This window comes from Homo sapiens, chromosome 3, assembly GCF_000001405.40.
Source record: "Homo sapiens chromosome 3, GRCh38.p14 Primary Assembly".
NCBI lineage: Eukaryota > Metazoa > Chordata > Mammalia > Primates > Hominidae > Homo > Homo sapiens.
In genome coordinates this window covers 129,662,380-129,685,974 of record NC_000003.12, presented here as the reverse complement: position 1 = coordinate 129,685,974, position 23,595 = coordinate 129,662,380, and the positions used below count along the sequence as shown (strand labels likewise).

Genomic DNA, 23,595 nt, shown 5'->3' with positions numbered 1-23,595 from the left:
GTAAAATTGATTGGCCTTATTGTTGGATCGGATATAGGTAGAAGGCAGAAGATGTCAAGAATGGCTCCTAGGCTTTGATTTGGTTTGGTTTTGGCTTGTGTAGCTTGATAGACAGATGCTTTTCCTGAGATATGGAACAGTGTAAGAAGATCTGATTTAGAAGAGGATTATGATGTTTGGTTTTGGACATGTAGATTTTGATATAGTCAAGTAGCCTTTTGGCTCTATAAGTCTAAATCCCAAAGGAGATCGTACTGCTCTTATCATTGGGAAACCTTTAGTGATATCCTTGGCATAAAATTTAGAACAGTAGTTTAGACCTACCTTGGCAGCCCATTTCTCACTACAGCCCTCTCCTGTGCCATTATTTTACAGCCTCGTCAGCCATTCAGTTATCATGAAGGTGCTATTACACTTTCTTCTTCTGGACTGTTCTGCATACTAGGCTGTTAACCTGAAATGCTTTTCCTTACCCTTTCTGTATCAGATACTAATTTCTTCAAGGCTCATTTTTATTGTTACCTCCTCCAATGAGCCTTATCTGTCCCCTTCTCATCTTTTTTTTTTTTTTAAATTTAATTTTTAAGTTTCTTTTAGAGACAGGGTCTCACTCTGTTGCGCAGGCTGGAGTGCCGTGGCATGATCATAGTTCAGTGCAGCCTTAGACTCCTGGGCTTAAGTGATTTTCTCACTTAGCCTCCTGAGTAGCTGGGACTACAGACTCACCCCACCAAACCTGGCTAATTTTTTTCTTTTTTGTAAAGACATGGTCTTTCTGTGTTAACCAGGCTGGTCTTAAACTCCTGTCCTCAAGCTAATCCTCCTGTGTCTGCCTTCCAAAGTGCTGGGATTACAGGTGTGAGCCACTGCACCCAGCTAGCCCCTTTCCCTTCTTTTAATACATGCTTCCCTCCTGTGTTCAAAGAGTACTTTGCTGTCATACCTGTGTCATTTATTTAATTGGACCTGCATTTCAGTTGATCATTTCCATGTTTCACCAACTAGATTGTGTGTTCCTTGAGAGCAGGGATTCCACCTTTATTCAGTGTTTTACATAAAGAAAAAATAATTGCAAAATGAATTAAATTGTAAAGCCTCAGTCTTTTTCACAACCTGTATCCATAATCTCATAGCACCATAATGTGCTTTCCCCATCTATCTGCTCCTAATTTTCTCTAAGCTATCCTACCCCGCAGATACCTAGATACAAAGCAGAAAATGTTTTTCCTTTCATATGCAGAATTCCTGAATCCGTCCCTTTTATCATATACTTTTCTACTTTACTTTATTTGTAATTTATCAGAAAAACTGAAATCTTTCCATTGCTCATCACATGTGAAAGAATTGGCCAAGGCAGGAAAGGACATCCACAACTCGCCTTGTTCTCTGTGTCTCCTCTTTTCCCATTCTTCTGGAGTAAGTCCAGAATCCATCTAGTATTTTTCAGTGAGGTCATTGTTGGCATTTAAGATCAGGTAATTTTTGAGACTACACTGCAGGAGAAATGCCCCCAGGCCTAGTGCCACCTGGAGGGATGGTACTGCCCGTAGTCTCTCCCACTCTCCCCGACTCCTACATCAACAGAGTATAGAAATGCATAAACAAATTATGAAAATTGGATCCTTACCATTTAAGTAATTCCCTCACAGAGGCTTAAGCATTCAATTTGCCTTTTCAGAAGTCTTTGAATAGCTGAATGTTCTTCTTATCTCAGTTAACACTGGTGTGCATTGATTCTCAGTCTTTTGGAATCCAAGTTTTATTGATTTATTAGCCCTTTTAGGAGTTACAGATACCTCTATTTAAAAACCTGGAACAACTAGACAAGTCTCTGAAGTCCATACCATTTACATATTTAAGCAATTTTTTACAATTTGTCATAGATATCCTTAATTTATTTCCAGGATCTTTAAACATTGATGACATTCTTAAGACGTTAGAGACAGTATATACAGCAGGCATTTACACCAACTTTATCAGTGTATCTGCTTTATTCTGTTGTACAAAAAGCAACTGTGTTCTCAAAATTAAGTACAGATTTTAGGAAAGATAACACCCTGGAGTATCCCTTGCCGAAGATTTTATATTTTTTAAAGGACAGAAACTTGATCTGTTGAGATTGTATCAGGAGTCTGAACAATAAGCTGTCCTGTCTGTTTAAATAAATTTCTCTTAAAATAATTTTTATTCAGGGCAGTAATAGACACTGGGGACTCCAAAAGGTAGGAGGATGGATGGTGGTGGGGCGGTGGGGGTTGAAAAATTAACTATTGGGCACAATGTTCACTATTCAGGTGATAGGTATACTAAAAGCCCAGAGTTCACCTCTGTACAATATGTCCATGTAACAAAACTGCATTTGTACCCCCTAAATCTATGAAAAACAAAACAAAGAATTAAAAACCTATTGACATGTAGAAAAATAATTTTTATTCGGTTACAGGTAACCAAGTAATGCTAGAACTACAGTCTGTCAAAGATCAGACATGGGTGTACTATACAACAGAGAGCTCACAATTTGGAATCAAAGGCTTGAGTTAGCCTCTGAGCCAGATTTTTCATGTAGAAAATTAGAATAGTGCCTGCCTCACTGGATTAATAAGATAATACGGTTGGGTGCCAAACATGCCCAGCTACTAGACACTAGGGAAAGCAAGTTAGAAAAAGATAAATCTAGTCTTGGAATACTCATAGACCAGTGGTGTACAAGGTAGAATGGAAAAAAGGAGACTGTTTAAATAATACTCTGATCACCTATGGTTGGCATGAAAAGGATTGGCATGCAGTGTTATAAAAGCAAAAACAGTAGAACTTAGAAGCTGCTTAAAAACTTTGGCAAGGGCCGGGCGTAGTGGCTCATGCCTGTAATCCCAGCACTTTGGGAGGCCAAGGCGGGCGGATCACCTGAGGTCCAGAGTTCGAGACCAGCCTGACCAACGTAGAGAAACCCTGTCTCTACTAAAAATACAAAATTAGCCGGGCATGGTGGCGCATGCCTGTAATCCCAGCTACTCAGGAGTCTGAGGCAGGAGAATCAGTTGAACCCGGGAGGCGGAGATTGCGGTGAGCCGAGATCGCGCCATTGCACTCCAGTCTAGGCAACAAGAGCGAAACTCTGTCTCAAAAATAAAAATAAAAAAACTTTGGCAAGAAGGGGAAAAGATCAGAAACATGCTTTTACTCTTGATTACTGGAAAAAGGATGAAAACAGGTTTATAAGGAGACAGGTATTTTTGAAAGAGAGGCGAGGACATTGAATGCTTAGTTTGAGACAGATTTTGATTTGTCAGGGGAAACACAGAAGGATATTCATGTAGAAATAGCCATTAGGCAATTGAGAATTTAAACCTAGAGACAGAGAGAGTCATCTATGTAGCAGAGAGTCTGAAGCTTGGAGAGGGTATCACAGTTAAATCTACAGAACTGCTATATCCAGCAGGCACTGTAGGCTCAGGGAGGCAGGGGACTGAGCTTTTTAAGGGCCTACAGAAACCCTATTATCTAAAATATAAACAGGAGAAGTTTTAAATCTTAATAAATATTTAATGACAGTTGCAAAATGCAACTGTCAGTTTTAATTGTTATATTTAACATTATTTGAGTATTTCATTTGAAAACAATTTGTAGTTTATATTTTCTTCTTCATGATACGTGTCAAGAATATTTAAAGTTATTTGTAGCTGGGCATAGTGACGTGGGTCTGTAGTCCCACCTACTCTGGAGGCTGATGTGGGAGACTTGCTTGAGGCCAGGAGTTTGAATCTACAGTGCACAATGATCACGCCCATGAATAGCCACTGCACTTGAGCCTTGGCAACATAGCAAGACCCTATCTCTAAAAATAAGGTAGTTGTTTCCAGATAATTTGTCAGATAATTTCAGTGCAAAATAACAGAAAAACTTAAGTTTTCAGTTAAAAATTATATTTAATATGAGGATATTTTATGTGTTTTATATGTGCATGGAACCTCTAAAAGTAGGAACACTTAGGGCTTTTCTGGCCTCTCCCTTTCTCATTTCTTTATTTTTATTTTATTTATTTTTTAATTAAAAATTTTTTTTTTTTTTTGAGACGAAGTCTCACTGTTGTCCAGGCTGGAGTGCAGTGGTATGATCTCAGCTCACTACACCCTCCACCTCCCAGGTTCAAGCGATCCTCCTGCCTCAGCCTCCCAAGTAGCTGGGATTACAGGTGTGCACCACCATGCCTGGCTAATTTTTGTATTTTTAGTAAAGACGGGGTTTTACCATGTTGGCCAGGCTGGTCTCAAACTCCTGACCTCAGGTGATCCGCTTGTCTCGGCCTCCCAAAGTTCTGGGATTACAGACGTGAGCCACTGCACCTGGTCTCCTCTTCCTCATTTCTATTGGCACTGTGTTCTAGTGGCTTATGATTATTATAGCTTCCTACCTGGCCTCCTACCCACCAGCCTCTGTATACTCTATTTCATTTACTCATGGATACCAGATTAAGCTTCTAAGTACATAGCTCTGGTAATGTTAGTTCCCTACTGAAAAAAAAAAACGTTGACTACTTATCATTCTTTACCTCCTAGCGAGTTAGATAGTAAAGGAAGGTTATTTAAATTAAAATAAATTCAAACCGTGAGTATTCCTATACTTTCCCTAAATATTGACCAAACTATATTATTTACTGCTTTATAAAATATGTAGAATTTTTCTGCCCTCTTGGAAATGACCCTTTTTATAAGTCTGTCAGAATTCCATTTTGAAGTGCAGCAAAAATACCATCTGCTTTGTAAAACTTCTTAGTCACCCCATCTCAAACCAGGTATTTCTTTTTTCTGAATCCCCATAGATGTTTGGAAAATGCCATAAATATTATAATATACACATTTTACATATTAAAACAAATTATTTGACCTTCTGTCTCCACCCCCCATCATATAAGCTGCTTTTGAACAGTGCCGTATCACTACCATCATCATATCTCCTATAGCACCTTGCTTCATACTTTGCATATACATAGTTAATAAATTTTAGGAGAAAGGATGTAATCACATATGTGGGATTCCCATTCAGAGTCTAACTTTTTCTTCCTTTTTTTTTTTTTTGAGACAGAGTCTTGCTCTATCACCCAGGCTGGAGTGCAGTGGTTCCATCTCAGCTCACTGCAACCTCCACCCCCCGGTTCAAGCAATTCTCATGCCTCAGTCTCCCAAGTAGCTCGGATTACAGGCGTGCACCACCATGCCTGGCTAGTTTTTGTATTTTTAGTAGAGACAGGGTTTCGCCATGTTGGCCAGGCTGGTCTCGAACTCCTGACCTCAAATGATCCACTCGCCTCAGCCTCCCAAAGTGCTGGGATTAGAGGCGTGAGCCACCAGGCCTGGCCCAGAGTCTAACTTTGTAAAAATCATCAGTGCCTCCCTATTCTGCTGCTCAAGTGGTAGTGGTTATGACTTATGACAAGCGACGCAGTGAATAGCAAGGACTCTAAAGCCAAGTCCTCTGAGTTCAAATCCTGACTCTGCTGCTTATTGGCTATGTGACCTTCGACAAGTCACCTAACTTCTCCTGATTCAATTTCTTCGGCTATAAAATGGAGATTAAAATAGTATATATCTCCTAGGTTTGTTTTGAGGATTAACCAAGTTAATATAAGCAAAGCATTTAGATTTGTACCAGGTTCATAGTAAGCACTCAGTTACTACTATTACCTTTGCTACTATCATCTTCGTATTTACACATAAACCAGATTGAGTCTTCCACTTTCGTAGTCTCAGAAAATGTCTGTCTATCTAAGGAGTAGAAATATTCATGTAGTTCACAAAGAAGAAAAATAATTTTGGGCATTTAACACATGTTTTTAATAAAACGAGAATACTAAAGTATTTTAGGGCAATTCATGCAAGAGTATAAATGAACTCTAAGCTTTTTAAAAAATTATAAAATGTCTGATTTTAATGTATGAAGATAAGGTACTTTGGGAAGCTTTTAAAAGTCAATCTCTGATGCAATAAGATCCTGTTATAACACAGATGAAGAAGTTATAAATAAGCTTGTTAAGATTTCTTGGTGATACAATAAATGGAAACACTTCAGATTCTAATGAAAGAGTGGAACATAGCACACCCAAAAAATACTCTGAATAAATAAGAGAATAGGAAATTGTATTCATTCAACAAATATTTGAGCAGCTGCTAAGTGCCATGCACAATTTTAGTTGTTAGAGAAACAAAAGTGGACAAAACACAAAAATATCTACCTTCATGGGCCTTATATTCTAGTTTTTTATGAAATATAAAAATACATGTCAAAAGGTAAAGAGTTCTATGTAGAAAAATGAAGTCAAGAAAGAAAATAGGAAGTTCATAATGGAACCAAAATTTGCAATTTTAAATAAGGCAGGCCAGGCGTGATGGCTCATACCTGTAATCCCAGCACTTTGGGAGGCCAAGGTGGGCGGATCACGAGGTCAGGAGTTCAAGACCATCCTGGCCAATATGGGGAAACCCCATCTCTACTAAAAATAGAAAAATTAGCCAGGCGTGGTGGTGCGCACCTGTAGTCCCAGCTACTCGGAAGGCTGAGGCAGAAGAATCACTTAAACCCTGGAGGCGGAGGTTGCAGTGAGCCGAGATTGTGCCACTGCACTCCAGCCTGGATGACAGAGCACGACTCCATCAATAAATAAATAAATAAATAAATAAGGCAGTCAGAGAAGTCCTCGCTGCTAAGGTGACATTGAAGCAAAGACTTAAAGGAGGTGACGGAGCAAGCCGTGCAGGTGTCTGAGGGAAGAGCACTCCAGAAAGAAGGAACACTCACTGCGTGAAAAGCCCTGACATGGGTGCCTGTCTCTCATGTTCCAGGAACAACAGGGGAGGCCACTGTAGCTGATGCCAGTGGAGTAAAGGGATGACTAGTAAGAGATGAAGTCACGGAGTTTATGGGATGTAGTGGTGCAGGTGTAGATCATGGCCATTGTAAGAACTTTGGCTTTTACCCTGACTGACCTAGAGAGCCACTGGAAAGTTACAGGTATAAAAAGAGTGTCGTAATCTGACTTATGTTTTAAAAGAACTACTCTGGCTGCTCTGCAGATAATTATAAAAATATTATTGCAGTTATAGGAGACTGTTGCATTGCTAGGACAATATGGTGTATACATAGTGGTTAATAACACATACTCTGTAGCTAGACTATCTGGGTTCAGACATTGAGTCTGGTACTTCTTTAATTTGTGATCTTGAACAACTTAAATTCCCTATGCTTTGGTTTTCTTAGCCATAAAATTAGGATAAATAATAATACCCATTCCATAGTGTTACTATAAAGAATTAAACAATGAGGCCGGGCACGGTGGCTCACACCTGTAATCCCAGCACTTTGGGAGGCTGAGGCGGGTGGATCATGAGGTCGGGAGTTTAAGACCAGCCTGGCCAAGATGGTGAAACTCCGTCTCTACTAAAAATACAAAAAATTAGCCGGGCATGGTGGCACACGCCTGTAATCCCAGCTACTCGGGAGGCTGAGGCAGAAGAATTGCTTGAACTCAGAGGGTGGAGGTTGCAGTGAGCCGAGATTATGCCACTGCACTCCAGCCTGGGCAACAGAGTGAGACGCCATCTCAAAAAAAAAAAAAAAAAAAGAATTAAACAATGTACATGCCAAGGGTTTAGAACAGTGCTTAGCACATAGCAAGTATACTATATGTATTAGCAACTATGATTATTAATGTTGTTATTAAGTGGATATGGATATAAGGTATATGAGAAAAAAAAAAGAATTGGCCAGGCGTGGTGGCTCATGCCTGTAATCCCAGCACTTTGGGAGTCCAAGGAGGGTGGATCACTTGAGGCCAGGAGTTCGAGACCAGCCTGGCCAACATGGCAAAACCCCGCCTCCACTAAAAATTAGCCAGGTGTGGTGGCATACACCTATAATCCCATGTAATTTGGGAGGCTGAGGCATGAGAATCGCTTGAACCCAGGAGGCAGAGGTTGCAGTGAGCCAAGATCATGCTACTGCACCCCAGCCTGGGCGACAGAGCGAGACTCTGTCTCAAAAACAAATAAAAAATGAACCGACTGTTGGACATGCAAGTAGAGATACTAAGTAGGTAGTTGGATATCTGAGTCTAGTATTAAGGGAAGTGTGAGCTAGTGGTGTACATTTAGAATTCATCAGCAAATAAATGATTTTTAAGAGTAAGAAGAGTAATTAGTCCTAACGTGGGATTAGGGGTATATCATTCGAACAGCTCTTCCTTGGACCCTCTACTCTTCACAAGCTTCCTAACAAGCCATGACAACCAGCTCAGGGAGAGCCAGATTATCATAGACCCTATTGAGCATTTTGGATCCCTTCATTACTTTAGAATTTCATCTTATCACAATTGCTTGAAATAAATAGAATTAAGCTAAGGCTGAGAAATATTCTGTTTTAATGACACTGTATCATTGAAGTATTTGTAGCAGGAATTAACTTGTAAAGGAGAACTTATTGAGCAGTTCTATAGTCACATTGGCTTGTCTGCACATGAATATTATATGTATTTTTTAATTCTCAGTAATAAAAGCACCTTTTTTGTTACCGTCTCCTTTTCCTGGTTAGCACATGCTCAGAAAATAGAAAATTTTTAACATTTTCCCACATTAACAGACTTCAGACTAATTGTATATAATATACTTCATTCTAAAGTCTTGTGAGAATGATTCTTGAATATTATAGCCTGAGTCACTATTCTTTTTTGGGGGACCCTGTCACCCAGGCTGGAATGCAGTGACACAATCTCAGCTCACTGAAGCCTTGACCTTCCAGGCTCAAGCAATCCCCCCACCTCAGCCTCCTGAGTAGCTGGGACTACAGACGTGTGCCACCATACCCGGCCAAATTTTTTTTTTTTTTTTAGAGACAGGGTTTCGGCATGTTGCCCAGGCTAGTCTTGAACTCCTGAGCGCAAGTGATCTGCCCATCTCGGCCTCCCAAAGTGCTGGGATTAGAGGCATGAGCCACCACACCTGGTCAATTTATTAATTTTTTCTAGTTACAAATAGGTATTTGGATTTTGATTAATGAACGTACAGGCCAGGTTAAGTGATGGAAGAAGGTAACTAATTAGTTTACCATGTTTGGCAGGCATCATCTGACTTAATACATCTTTAACATTTTTTCAAAAAATCTCATTAGAAAATGATAACCCTGTTGTATAGATGAGAAAACTAAGGTTGAAAGAGAACAAGTAGGTGACCCAAAACCACACAGCTAGTAAGGTGATAAAGCTAGGTTTGAACCTAGGTCTTCTTATTCTTGCCCTTTCCACCACATTGCCTTTACACGTGATTATTCTCAAAGCTGGGTGCTATTGTGTTCTGACACTTTCATCTACTTAGAGAAAGTAGACAGAGCTAAGTAACAAAGCTAAGTTAAATGCTGCGCTCTAAATGGCACCACTCTGCCCTGATTATGTTGAGGTGTTGCTGTTTAGATTTTCTCTTGGGTTGTTTTCTGTCAATTAATTCAGATCAGTTAATAGATAAATTTAAGTCTGACAAACTATCTCTTAATATTAAGAGATACAATGCAGACAAAGCAGCATAGTCTGTTACAGCAACAGATCAGAATTGTGGCTTCTGACCATATCCCTAGCTTTTTAGCGCATTGCCTTGCATATAATAAACAGTCAAAATATATTTAACTGACTGATTTTTACCTTTTTCTATACAAATTAATTACAAATTCTAATATCAGCTGTGAATGGGCAGTATTTGCTGCACTGATGCTCTGGACTCTGACAGGAGAGTACAAAAGCCCCTCAGGATATGGTCAGAAAAAGACACCCTGTTGAGTAGCTGGGACTGCTGCTGCTTTCCTCATCCTGCCTTGTAATAACTGGTGGTGGGAGGCAATCAAGTCATTTGTAAATTAGTGATAACAACATCTGTAATTTTTTTTTTTTTTTTTTTTTTTTTGAGACAGAGTCTCGCTCTGTCGCCCAGGCTGGAGTGCAGTGGCGCGATCTCGGCTCACTGCAAGCTGTGCCTCCCAGGTTCACGCCATTCTCCTGCCTCAGCCTCCTGAGTAGCTGGGACTACAGGCACCCGCCACCACGCCCAGCTAATTTTTTGTATTTTTAGTAGAGATGGGGTTTCACCGTGTTAGCCAGGATGGTCTCGATCTCCTGACCTCGTGATCCGCCTGCCTCGGCCTCTCAAAGTGCTGAGATTACAGGCGTGAGCCACTGCGCCTAGCCTGTAATGTTGTTTTTAAGATTGGAAGGTTAGCTAGCCAAGTGTATAGCCACGAGGCCAACTATATCTAGCATAGGTGACTATATTACTTTTATTGTAATGTTGAATTACATTATTCCTTTGGTTCACTCTTTACGTATCTCTTGTTCATGCCTGAAATGTGGAAAGATCTTGGACGGGAATATATTCTAGGAACTCTTAACATTTAAATTTTTTAAAAGAACCACTTTCATGGTACAAAAACAGTGCTAACAACTTACTCAGTGCCAGGTATTGTTCTAAGCCCTTTTATATTTGTTGACCCATTTCATCCTCATAATTGTCTTCTAAAGTGAGCATTAGTACAGTTGATGAAATGGATGCGGAGGTTAAGTAACTTGTCTAAATAACTTGCTAGTAGCAAAGCCAGATTTGAACCCAAGCCATTTATGCCAGAATCCATGCTTCACTACTGTACTATATGGAGCCAGACTCAATCTTGTTTGTTGGATTTGTGCCTTTCCTTGTATATTTAAGAAAAGCCTTCCTTATTTTGCAGTGCTGCCTTTGAAAGGTTTTTAAATTTTGCCTTTTACATTTGGGATTTAATTGTCTATCTGGAGTGAGTTAGAAACCTAATTTTATGGCCGGGCACAGTGGCTCACGCCTATAATCCCAGCACTTTGGGAGGCGGGCAGATCACTGGGGGTCAGGAATTCAAGACCAGCCTGGGCAACATGGTGAAACCCCGTCTCTACTAAAAATGCAAAAAAAATAGCTGGGTGTGGTGGCGTGCGCCTGTAATCCCAGCTACTCAGGAAGAGGCAGGAGAATCGCTTGAAGCCAGGAGGCAGAGGTTGCAGTGAGCTGACGTCGCGCCTTTGCACTTCAGCCTGGGCAACAAAAGCAAAACTCTGTCTCAAAAAAAAAAGAAGAGAAATCTAATTTTATGTTGTTGTATATGAACAGCCTAATATGCCAGCAAAGGCTGTTGAAAAAGGGAACCACTTTTCAGTTGGTGCCTTCAAAACTCATAGCTAAGTGCTAAGTATTAATGCCTAGAGCATGGAATTCCCCTTTAAGGACTTTGTTCCTAACTCAGAGTATATCACGACTGTTTTCCTCCCCTGTCCTGTGATTCTGTAGTCCAATGTAACTTTCTCTTTCTTTCCTCCTTTACTCTCCCTCTGCACCCCACTCTTCTTCTTCCTCTCCTCTGGTTTTTTCCTCTCTCCTTCCCTTTCTTTCACTCCATCATTCTCCTCTCTTCCCCTCCCCTTATTTCCCATTTTCTCCCTCCTTTAAAAAAATTGTTTCTGCTAGAATTGGGAGGAGTTCCAGTAGTCCAGTGATTCATGGTTTCAGGTGTTAAACTACCTTACTGCTGAAGCTATGGGTTAGTTTTTTTAGAGGCTGAAGACGTTGGGTTCTATCAGCTATACTCTTGCAGGCATGTTGATGATTCTGAGTAGGAGCCAGGACACACTATGGCTCCAAACAGCCCAAGTAGGACGGAAGTCAGATTAAAGACAGCCTAGTTTATTTCTTCAGTTACTACATAAGGAAATAAAATCACATCTAAAATGTGATCACTTGTAAATATGGGGATACATTCTGAGGAATGCATTTAGGGAGTTTTGTCAAAGTGCAAACATCGCTGAGTGTGCTTACACAAACCTAGATGGTATAACGCCTGGGCTATGTGGTATAGCCTATTGTTTCTAGGCTACAAACCTGTACAGCAGGTTACTGTACTGAATACTGTAGGCAGTGTACCACAGTAGTGTTTGCATATCTAAACATAGCTAAACAGAAAAGGTACAGTAAAAATCTGGTATTATAGTCTTATGGAACCACTGTTGTATATGCAGTCCATCATTGACCGAAATGTCATTATGCAGCATATGACTGTATGTTGAAAGTTTAGTGTAGAGATTTTTTTTTTTTTTCATTTTAGAGATATAATCAAATACAATCATGGCTCACTGCAACCTCTGCTTCCCAGGTTCAAGCTATCCTCCCACCTCAGCCTCCTGAGCAGCTGGGACTCCAGGCATGTGCCACCATGCCCAGCTAATTTTTAATTTTTCTGTAGAGATGGGGTTTCCCCATGTTGCCCAGGCTGTTCCCAAACTCCTGGGCTCAAGCGATCCTCCCGCCTTGGCCTCCCAAAGTGCTGAGATTACAGGTGTGAGCCACTGTGCCTGGCCATAGCTACACTTCTTTAGTCTACAGATTGCATGTAAATATTCATATTAATATCAGAGAACCTAAGAGAGAGATAACTAGAGCATGCAGAAGCTTAGAGTCTTGGATCTAGTGACATTCTTATATTTGCTTTCCTTTATATTGTGGTATATTTTGAGCTTAATTATTAAACATAAATACTCATCAAGGTCAAGGATCTGAAATCTCATTCAGAAAGAAAATGCAACAATTGGAACCCTGTGCAACCTAGAAGACATTGGGCACTGAATAAAGTGGATTTCCAGGAGCTCTTGTTGCAACTCTTGGCACCTTGCTTATCTGGAACTCTGGCTGCTCCTCCCTTGTGCTGCGTCTGTCCATTCCACTGCTTGTTAGCATGCACCAAAAGATGAATTGGGCAGAAGGAGGAAGTGACACAAAACAGTTATTGTGCTAGTAACTATTCCAGATATTCTCTTTTATTCACTAGTGGTGCATAACGTTATTTTGTCATTAATTTCAGTATTAAATTCTCTTTTGATTTTATTTAAATGCACAGTATTTCTCATTTGTTCATCTAGAAAGAAGGTAGTGTTTTTATTCACATCAATGGTAATATATTGAATTCAATAATGAACTAAATGTGTTTTATGGCTCAGAGATCAGCATAGCTCCTGCTCAGATGGCAAACTGAGGTAATACATCCCAGATGAAAAAAAGAAGATGTTATCCCTAGGTTAATTATTGGCGTTTCATAAATATTTCAAACTTGGTGCATTATTGTCATGAAAATATGAGGAAGAAGGTGATCTTGTATATAGTTCTTTCTAGCAAATTGTTACCTGGTACAGATTAAGATGGGAACCAAGAAAAGGATTGTAATTTGGCACTTATACTGGGGATTTTTATTACCCTAAGAAGGTTATTTTATTACTCATTACTCATTACTCTGTTACTGCTTAACAGAGAGCAGGTTTGTTTTTTTATTTTTAGAGACAGGGTCTCGCTCTGTCACTCAGACTGGAGTGCAGTGGTGCAGTCATAGCTCACTGCAGCCTGGAACTACTGGGCTCAAGTGATCCTCCCACCTCAGCTTCCCTACTAGCTGGAACTATGGGTGTGTGCCACCATAACTGTGTAATTTAAAAAAAAAATGTGTAGAGAGGGGGTCTCACTATGTTGCCCAGGGTGGTCTTAAACTCTTGGCCTCAAGTGATCCTTCTCCTTTGACCTCCCAAAGCACTGGGAATATAGACGTGAGCCACTGTGCCTGGCCAAGAACAGTTTCTAGAGCCTTCTTCTTTGGGACCTATTCAAATTCACCACCACAAGCCACACCCAGGGATGACCTACTGAAGGATTTTTTTGTCCTGAATTTGGGAAACTTGACCTCCCCAAATTTAGCTAACTATGTTGAAGAGTGAACATTTATGCTTTTAAATCTGAGTATCTTGTCTTTTTCTTCAACTCCTTTGAATGGTTCTCACCCACATGAAAGGATTAAGTATACGTGCTTTGGAGTCCCTTGCCTAACAAAAACCTTTTACTGGATAAAGGTCACAAAATATGGGCTCCGAAAGACCTGATCCTTGTCCCTGACTTGTTAACTTAGCTCTTACTGTTCCTGTCCCTGAGTTTTCAAGTTTTCTTGCTCAAGGTTATCACCTTTGATTTGGTAACATTCATCTTTGCCACTTTCAGCAGTTACTTTCCCATCTTGCCTCCAACCATCTCCAGCTGCCACTTAAATATCCTTAGAATATATAGAATGATCCATCACCCTTGACATGATTTGGATAAAAATCATTATGATAAAAATTGCATTTTTATATCTAGCCAGTAACATACCTATTCTTGCCGACACATTTAGGTGACCATAATCTATAAGTGTGGATCAGAATTACAGTGATGTCTGAACACCAAAAGGGTTTTCATATAATTATATTGAAATGCAGATGCAACTTGTTTTACATAGATGTTCTTCTGAATAAAAATTATGTGTAAAGAAAGTGAATTAATTCATACTTTAAACCCACTAAGGGAGTGTTATTGTGTGAAGAAACACTGAAAAATCCTCTAGCAAAGGAAGAATCCCCCAGCTTATATCTTGTGCAGATCTTTTTTCATATATCTGTTTTGCTTAAAGTATACTTGTATGAGGGCAGTATGTAAGAGGGAGACAGGGCTGGCATAGGACAAGGGGGAATTATAGGTCAGTTATCTACTGAGATTTGAGAGTAGACACATTTCCAATACATTTTGGCCCATTGATTTTGAAGACGTAGTCCTCTTGGGCTTCTAACATGTACCTCTTGTTTTTACACTAGATCGAACGGTTGGAAGTAAGCAGCCTTGCCCAAACATCCAGTGCAGTGGCCTCCAGTACCGATGGCAGCATCCACACAGACTCTGTGGATGGAACACCAGACCCTCAGCGCACAAAGGCTGCCATTGCTCACCTGCAGCAGAAGATCCTGAAGCTCACAGAACAAATCAAGATTGCACAAACAGCCCGGGACGACAACGTTGCTGAATACTTGAAGCTTGCCAACAGTGCAGACAAACAGCAGGCTGCCCGCATCAAGCAAGTCTTTGAGAAGAAGAACCAGAAATCTGCCCAAACTATCCTCCAGCTGCAAAAGAAACTTGAGCACTACCACAGGAAGCTCAGAGAGGTAGAGCAGAATGGGATCCCCCGGCAGCCAAAGGATGTCTTCAGGGACATGCACCAGGGTCTGAAGGATGTAGGAGCAAAGGTGACTGGCTTCAGTGAAGGTGTGGTGGATAGTGTCAAAGGTGGGTTTTCCAGCTTCTCCCAGGCCACCCATTCAGCAGCAGGCGCTGTAGTCTCAAAGCCCAGAGAGATTGCCTCACTCATTCGGAACAAATTTGGCAGTGCAGACAACATCCCCAACCTGAAGGACTCTTTAGAGGAAGGGCAAGTGGATGATGCGGGGAAGGCTTTGGGAGTGATTTCAAACTTTCAGTCTAGCCCAAAATATGGTAGTGAAGAAGATTGTTCTAGTGCCACTTCAGGCTCAGTGGGAGCCAACAGCACCACAGGGGGCATCGCTGTAGGAGCATCCAGCTCCAAAACAAACACCCTGGACATGCAGAGCTCAGGATTTGATGCACTACTACATGAGATCCAGGAGATCCGGGAAACCCAGGCCAGACTAGAGGAATCCTTTGAGACTCTCAAGGAACATTATCAGAGGGACTATTCCTTAATAATGCAGACCTTACAGGAGGAGCGATATAGGTAAGTCACATGGAATTAATATCTGAAATTATTTGTGTAGGGTTCCCCTCCCTTTAGATATGGGGAAATGGCTTTTAAAAGTCTTTATCTTTCTCTAGAGTGTCCAGAGCACTTTCGGTATGTCATAAGACATCCACATGAGTTCCTGATGAAGCATTGCTGTAACTCTCCAGTCTTTCGTGCCAGTTTAGAACTTTAAAATGAAGTCCAAGCTTTCTAAAGTATTTCACCTATTTATTTATAATTATAAAACTACACAGTCATTGCAGCCTGTAACTGTACTACATTGAATTCAAAAGATCTGTAATTCTTAGAACTGTGTAGATATCAAAGATATCACCCAAGCAAAATGTAGTGACTTCTATAGGTATTTGGCCTTAAACACACATATCTGGGCAACTTGGTATAGAAAGATTAGACTGCAAACAAATCCAAATAAGAATGTTACCTTTATTATGAATTGACAAGTGTTTGAATGAGAGTGGACTTAAACATGAAATGGTTCTACAAGAGTTAGAAAATTCTCAAAGGGTTAAGTGCTTTGAATCATAGTCTCTGTTAAGGGTAGAAGCTGGTCTCGTTTTTGTGTTTAATATTACACTACATATTCATATTAGACCACTCTTGGCTATACTCTGAATATGTGTCCTTTCTCCTTGTTACCTTCACACGCAGAGAGAAATAATATTCTCGTCTGGAGAAATCCCATCTCTACTAAAAATACAAAATTAGCCGGGTGTGGTGGTGCATGCCTGTAATCCCAGCTACTCAGGAGGCTGAGGCAGGAGAGTCGCTTGAACCCAGGAGGTGGAGGTTGCGGTGAGCCGAGATCTCACCATTGTGTTCCAGCCTCGGCAACAAGAGCGAAACTCCGTCTCAAAAAAAAAAAAAAATTTTTTTCTAAGGATACATCCAAACTTTGTTAGCCAGAGACAGGCCACCTAATGCTGCAAATTGAGGACTAGTCTTATGGGAGCTACAGGTCAAGTTAGGCCTTGAAGGACCTGGGTTCTGGCCCTGTCCCGATTATTAACTAGAGAAAATCCTCAGTACTTCTACTGTAACATCAGGAGTTGAACAGATAATCTTTTAATATCCTTTTCACCTTTTAAAAATGTGTTTTTAAAAGTTTGCTTTTATAAGGTAATCTTAGGGTCTGAAACAAATTGTTCACATGTATAAATTATCTCTAAGAAGAGTTACAGCAGCAAGTTCGTTTCAGATGGTGAAAACTCTAATCAGTAATTCAGCCTGCCTCTTTTCTTACTCTTCTGTTCTTCAATTCTAACTTAAGACTTCAAGGGAGAAGACCAGAGAAGTGAGTGTGGGAGGGAGAAATAAAGTTCTAAAAGCAGATACTGTACATTACTATTTTTATTTAAGTGTTTTATAAATTCTTTAGTATGGCTGGGCACAGTGGCTCACGCCTGTAATCCCAGCAGTTTGGGAAGCTGAGGTGGGTGGACCACCCAAGGTCAGAAGCTTGAGACCAGCCTGACCAACATGGAGAAACCTTGTCTCTACTAAAAATACAAAATTAGCTGGGCATGGTGGCGCATGCCTGTAATCCCAGCTACTCAGGAGTCTGAGACAGGAGAATCACTTGAACCCAGGAGGCAGAGGTTGCAGTGAGCCGAGATCGTGCCATCACACTCCAGCCTGGGCAACAAGAGCAAAACTCCGTGTCAAATGAAAATAAAAATAAATTCTTAAGTATACTGAGAAGACAGTATCTTATTCAATAAGTGATATAACAGATATTCAAATGAACTCTAAAAGTAAAACACCTGTGTCTTTGTACCATATTAAACCTAACTCCCAAGTTCAAATTCCAGTTCTTCCCCTTACTAACCTTGAAAACCTGGGCAAGTTTCTTCAGTTCTCTTAAGTCTTGGTTTCCACATCCCTAACATAGAAATAGTAATAGTTCTTTATAAGATTATTGTGATATTTAAGTGAAATTATTTGGTTAAAGCACATAGCTCAGTGCCTGGCCCCATAGTGCTCTACTGATGTTAGGGGAACAGATGCTGTTAACCCCACTTAGAACATGAAGACATTCCACAGTCAGTTAAAAAAATTTTTAAAACCACACAAAACTGCCTACTTTGACTCCTCTATTTTTTGTTTTACATTGGTTTTGAGACAGAGTCTCACTTTATTGCCCATGCTGGAGTGCAGTGGTGCGATCTTGGCTCACTGCAGCCTCGACCTCCTGGGCTCAAGTGATCCTCCCATCTCAACCTCCTGAGTAGCTGGGACTACAGGTGTGCACCACCACGCTTGGCTCGTTTTTTAATTCTTTTGTAGAGACAAGGTCTCACTATATTGCCCAGGCTGGTCTTGAACTTCTGGGCTCCAGTGATCTGCCCTCCTTGGCCTCCCAAAGTGCTGGGATTACAGGTATGAGTCACCATACCCCGTCAACTCCTCTATTTTGAATGGATACCTTGTAGTTTTTAAATTGCCCCAGAGCTTAAAATTCATATAGAGCTTGTTATGTCTTCATGTCAAGATGTAGAAAGTCAAGATATGAGAAAATCAGAAACAGGTCTCTCAGGAGCCACCTTTGAATCCATTTAGTGTAAGTCGGAGACATAATAGGACAGAACGTTAGCTGCTCATTAACACCTCATTAGAAGAATTAAGTTCAAGCCATTTAGGAGGTAATGAGCAGTGCATTTCTTTCATTGCACTTTGGGTTCTTTCTAGTAGGTAAATGACTAGTTTTATGGAATGAAGACAGAACGAAGAAAACTTGAATTTTCAAAAAGAGAGTTAAAACCAGGAGGCAAGGAGAAGACATACTACGTAATCTGACTTGTTTTGTTTTCCCATTTCAGTTTTAGAATGACTTTTCCTTAAAACACAATCTTGAAGAAAGAAAGCCCTTTTTTTCCCCAAAAAAGGGAGTGGAAAAGTCACAACTATTGTACTTTATTTTTGTTGTTCCAATAATTCCCTGTATAAAGCAGATAGAGATTTCCCCTCCATTATATATGGCTTTATACAGTAAACATATTCATCTAATTTTGTTGATCTTTGAATGCTTTCACATAAATAAAATTTTTCTACAAATTGAAGTCTTTTTTTTTTTTTTTTTTTTTTTAAGAGTCAGGGTCTTGCTGGCCAGGCGCAGTGGCTCACGCCTGTAATCGTAGCACTTTGGGAGGCTGAGGTGGGTGGATCACAAGGTCAGAAGATTGAGACCATCCTGGCTAACATGGTGAAACCCCATCTCTACTAAAAATACAAAAAAAATTAGCCAGGCATGGTGGCATGCGCCTGTAGTCCCAGTTACGGGGGAGGCTGAGGCAGGAGAATTGCTTGAATCTGAGAGGTGGAGGTTGCAGTGAGCTGAGATCATGCCACTGCACTCCAGCCTGGGTGACAGAGTGAGACTCCGTCTCAAAAAAAAAATTAAAAAATAAAGAGTCAGGGTCTTGCTATGTTGCCTTGCTGGTCTTGAACTCCTGGGCTCAAGCAGTGCTTCCACCTCAGCCTCCTGAGTAGCTGGGACTGCAGGTGCATGCCACCATGCCTGGCTTTGAAATATATTTTCTTTTTGTTTTTTTGTTCTTTGTTTTTGGAGACAGAGTTTCACTCTTGTTGCCCAGGCTGGAGTGCAGTGGTGCGATCTTGACTTGCTGCAACCTCCGCCTCCTGGGTTCAAGTGATTCTCCTGCCTTAGCCTCCCCAGTAGCTGGGATTACAGGTGTCTGCCACCACGCCCAGCTACTTTTTTGTATTTTTAAGAGAGGCGGGGTTTTACCATGTTAGCCAGGCTGGTCTCGAACTCCTGACCTCAGGTGATCCACCCACCTCAGCCTCCCACAATGCTGGGATTACAGACATGAGCCACCATGCCCGGCCAGAAACCTATTTTAAGCACTGAAACTTTTCACATTTTAAGCATTTTGGGGAAATTTCTCTGCCTTCTTTTACAAAGTACACTGAATCTAACTTAATGGAAAGAGCTTAGATATGGTAGTATTCAGCTTAGAGTGATACTCTCAGGTTAGTGAAGCTGTCCATTTATGTGCCTCTACAGTAAATGGCCCTAGGCTTTTTTCAGTTTGTCTGCTTTTTTTATAGTTTTTTCTCCTTTCCATTTCTTCTCCACACTGTTAGTGAGCTACCCGCAGCAGCCTCTCTTTACTAATTCTACTTCTACTCTGTTGTAGGCTTTGCTTTTTGTGTAGGAAGAAAGTAGGCTGTGGATGGACTTCACAGATCCTTCTGTGACCAAGAACCAGTTAATGCATGCGTGGATGCTCAGGATACATTTTTTTTCTACGCTTTAGTTTATTTTACTAGTATCTGAGTTGATGAGAGGGAGGCCATGCACAGTGTTGCTGTTTGTTATTTGATGATGATGGTGACAAGGCCACTACCACGAACAGTGTTAAACTCCTGTGATGTGCCTAGTGCTAGATGTTTTACGTACATTTGCCAATCCTCACAGTAGGCCCTACAGGTAAATTGTATTATTCCCATTTTAAAGATGAGGAAATTGAAGCTCAGTGGGGTTTTAAAAGTTGCCAGAGGTCACTCAGTAAGTGGTAAAGCCAGGATTCAAAACCCAGTTTTGTCTGACTTCAAATTCAGTGTTATTTTCATACCAGGATGATTTTTTTCAAAGCTCAATCCCGAAATCTATATGGTTGAAAGCCTAGCTCTCTGAAGCATTAGATGCATTGGCAGTGGGTATTAGGCCTATCCCAAGTTGAAGTAAATGTTTACTAAAAGTTGAGTCACTGTTTTTAACATATTTTATAAAAATGCTATGAATATGCAAGCTCTGGAAAGTTTCCTAGGCCAGTACAGCAGTGTAAATAAATAGGTGAAACCTTCTTAAGGAAATCCCTACTTCGGTCATTATTTCCCCTTCTCAGAATCCCTTCTCAATAATGTCCTTCGCTTAATGTGTTTCCATTGCTGTCTACCCAAGTGAGTAGCTCCAAGTGAAGATAGTTGCCCAAGACCATCTGCCTAACTCTGGAATAATCAGAAGCATTCCAAAGCCTATAGAGCACAGTCTCTCTCTCTTCACCCACATAATTGTACCATGACTGACACATTATTTTTTCATTGCCCACATGCACTTAGCCCAGGAAGCCATTGTAGCAGAGCTTGGATCTGAACTCCACCTCAGCCTTTGACTAGTGACTAGGTATTGAGTTTTACCATTGTGCATTCAGCTATGAGTGAGATCATGTATTTGGGGAAGGCAGGAGACAAGGTTTAGAAATTTTTTTAAGTGATGAGACCTGTGCCAACTTCAGATTCTTGTCCAGTTAGTTTCTTCATCCCATGTTTTGTTAGTGGCAGCTGGGTTCACAGTACTTCAGAAGTAGAAGGGACCCTTAGATATCTAGATTAATCTTATTTACAGTTGAGAACACTGAAGCTCAGAAAGATAAAGTGACTTTTGCCAGGTCACACAGTAAAATGGTTTTACATATATTTAATTTGCTGCTAGAAACTGAGGATTAGTTTTGTTCCTGTAGTGAGTGTAAATATATTAATAGGCTACCAAAAGGAAAAGTTCAGCTGTGGCAAAATGTACTGAAAATAAGAGAGAGCTAGGAAAACATTAATTGAGAATTTTGCTGGTTTCTTTGGTAGTTTTTTTCTTAGGGGATCTGGCCTGGAATCCTACTGAGCTACTGTAGCCTGTATAAAGCAGTGTCATGTAGGGCAGGCTAAAAACCCCCCAGGTGTTGATGAGCATTAATGCCATTTTGAAAGCTTGTATTTGAAGGGGATTACTGTCCATTGGAAATCGGCTTCTGAGAAAGTTTGTATTAAACCCGGGGATATTTTAAATTGCACTGAGTCATAAGAGCAAAAATACAGGAGACAGTCACCCTGAGCAGTTGTCACATGCAGTAGAACAGTTAGTAACTAGGCTGACCCAATTAGGCACAGGCTGTTAGAGTTCTAACTAAACAAATGGTTGTTTAAATATAATTTTAGTTGATTTGACCATCATTGGACATAACCCAATGATGTATGCTCAGATGTATGCTCAGAGGTACCTGTTTTAGCCCCTTTATTCTATGTGTGAGACCTGTCAACTGAAAAGTGATCTGAGAATCTCCAGACGATATGTAGGCTAGATTTGGACAATAAGTTTGAAATAGAAACTGAGGGTACTGAATCAAATTAGCCCTTCATTTATGAGAGAAGCAAAATCCCAATTAGGAAATATGACGTATACAATCTTCCATAAAAGAGATTTATGGGTGAGCTCATCCCAGTTTAGCGTTTAGCCGCTAAAGAGGAATGGAGGGGATTAATTAATTAACCCTTATTCCTTGGAGTGGACAAACTTGAATTTGCTTGCCAGCTCTGAGTAGATTACATAACTCATCTGAGCCTCAGTTTCTCCCTCTGTAAAAATGTAATGATATTTATTGTACATGGTTGTTGAAGTTATTAAAGGAGATAACATATATGGAAGTACCTAGTGTGATGTTTGGTTTAGAGTAGGAGCTCAACAAATGCTCCCTCCTCCTCCATTTTTTCTAGGGGAATACAAAGATCTGGGTTGTGCCAGAATGTTAGAAAGCTGTCATTACCAAGTCTGCAAGTTGCCCAGAAAGCCCCTCTAGTTTTTATTTATTTCCTGTATTATTTAGATATTTACTGTTTTCTTGTCATTAAGATAATTCATTGCCTACCCTTGAAATATTGTGGGGGACTGATATCTTTTTCCCTTTTCAGCTGAAGGCTAGTTCAGTGTTTTTTAGCTTCTTTTCAGGCTTCAACACAAAAAAGGTAACAAAAGGTAAGGAGAAAAAAATCCACTCTCCCCAATTCAGCTAGGAACCTATTCAAACTCCCACCGCAAGTCATACTCCCTACCCCAACTGTGTCTCTCTACTCTGGTCAAACACTGGCAGAAGCTATTTTGGGTCTCTGGTATGCATTTGGGAAATAGTCCATTCTTCTCCCATAGTTGCCTGTGGGTGTTTTTCCTGGGACCTAGTTCTTCCTGTTTCTCTCAATACCTGCTCCACAAGTTTCTTCAGCTATCCTGTGCTAGTGACCTATTGCCGAACTAGGGAAGCACCATTGGTTCTCAGAGATGGCTCCAAACTTTTGAGCCACACCCAAAGAGGAATGCTTCAGGTCAAAGCATTCCCAGGCTGTGTACTCACCCAGGCTCCCATTCATCAGTAATTTGACACAAAAGGCCCCTGGCTCATCTCTGATCTAGGAAGTTGACTACTGTGTTGACCTAGTGACCAAAACACTTTCAAGTTTAGTATTTATTTATGAATTATTTACCTACGACAAAATCTTGATGTGTTTAATACTTTGTAGATAGAACAGGTTTTGCTTCCAGTGGGGGATGAATTTCATCTACCAAAATATGATACTTGCTTTTAGAAAAAATAATCTTACAGTGCAAAGGCTTTCTGTTTGCTGATAGTTAAGCTCATGCCATATTTAAGTGTCCAGGTTCTCTTTGGGTTGTAACAATTTAGGAAGGACCTTGAGTAAAAATCCTTAAAATAAGATTATTAATCTCATGCTACTTGTAATCCAAGCGGAGGTGCGTGAACATCATTTGCCAGCCAAAATCACACATAGTCATGTGCTGAATAATGACATTTTGATCAACAACATATAAGACAGTTGTTTCATAAGTTTATAATGCTGTTTTTGTTTTGTTTTGTTTTTTTGAGATGGAGTCTCACTCTTGCCCAGGCTGGAGTGCAGTGGTACAGTCTCGGCTCACTGAAACCTCTGCCTCACGGTTTCAAGCAATTGTCGTGCCTCAGCTTCCAAGCAGCTGGGATTACAGGCATGCACTACCAAGCCTGTAATGCCATATTTTTAGTGTGCCTTTTCTATGTTTAGATATGTCTAGATACACAAACACTATTGTATTACAGCTGTCTGCAGTTGCCTATGGTACAGTAACTTGCTGTACAGCTT

The 23,595-nt window shown here is 40.5% G+C and overlaps 1 protein-coding gene across 16 annotated transcripts in view; it reads left to right on the top strand.

Moving 5' to 3' along the window:
• TMCC1 (transmembrane and coiled-coil domain family 1) overlaps positions 1-23,595 on the top strand; it is a 245,920-nt gene that overhangs the window by 207,737 nt on the left and 14,588 nt on the right. For all 16 annotated transcript variants that reach the window (NM_001128224.3, NM_001349268.2, NM_001349270.2 and 13 more), the window contains one exon: positions 14,711-15,645. In NM_001128224.3, the coding sequence (NP_001121696.1) occupies positions 14,711-15,645 (935 nt within the window). The remainder of the gene's footprint in view (positions 1-14,710; positions 15,646-23,595) is intronic.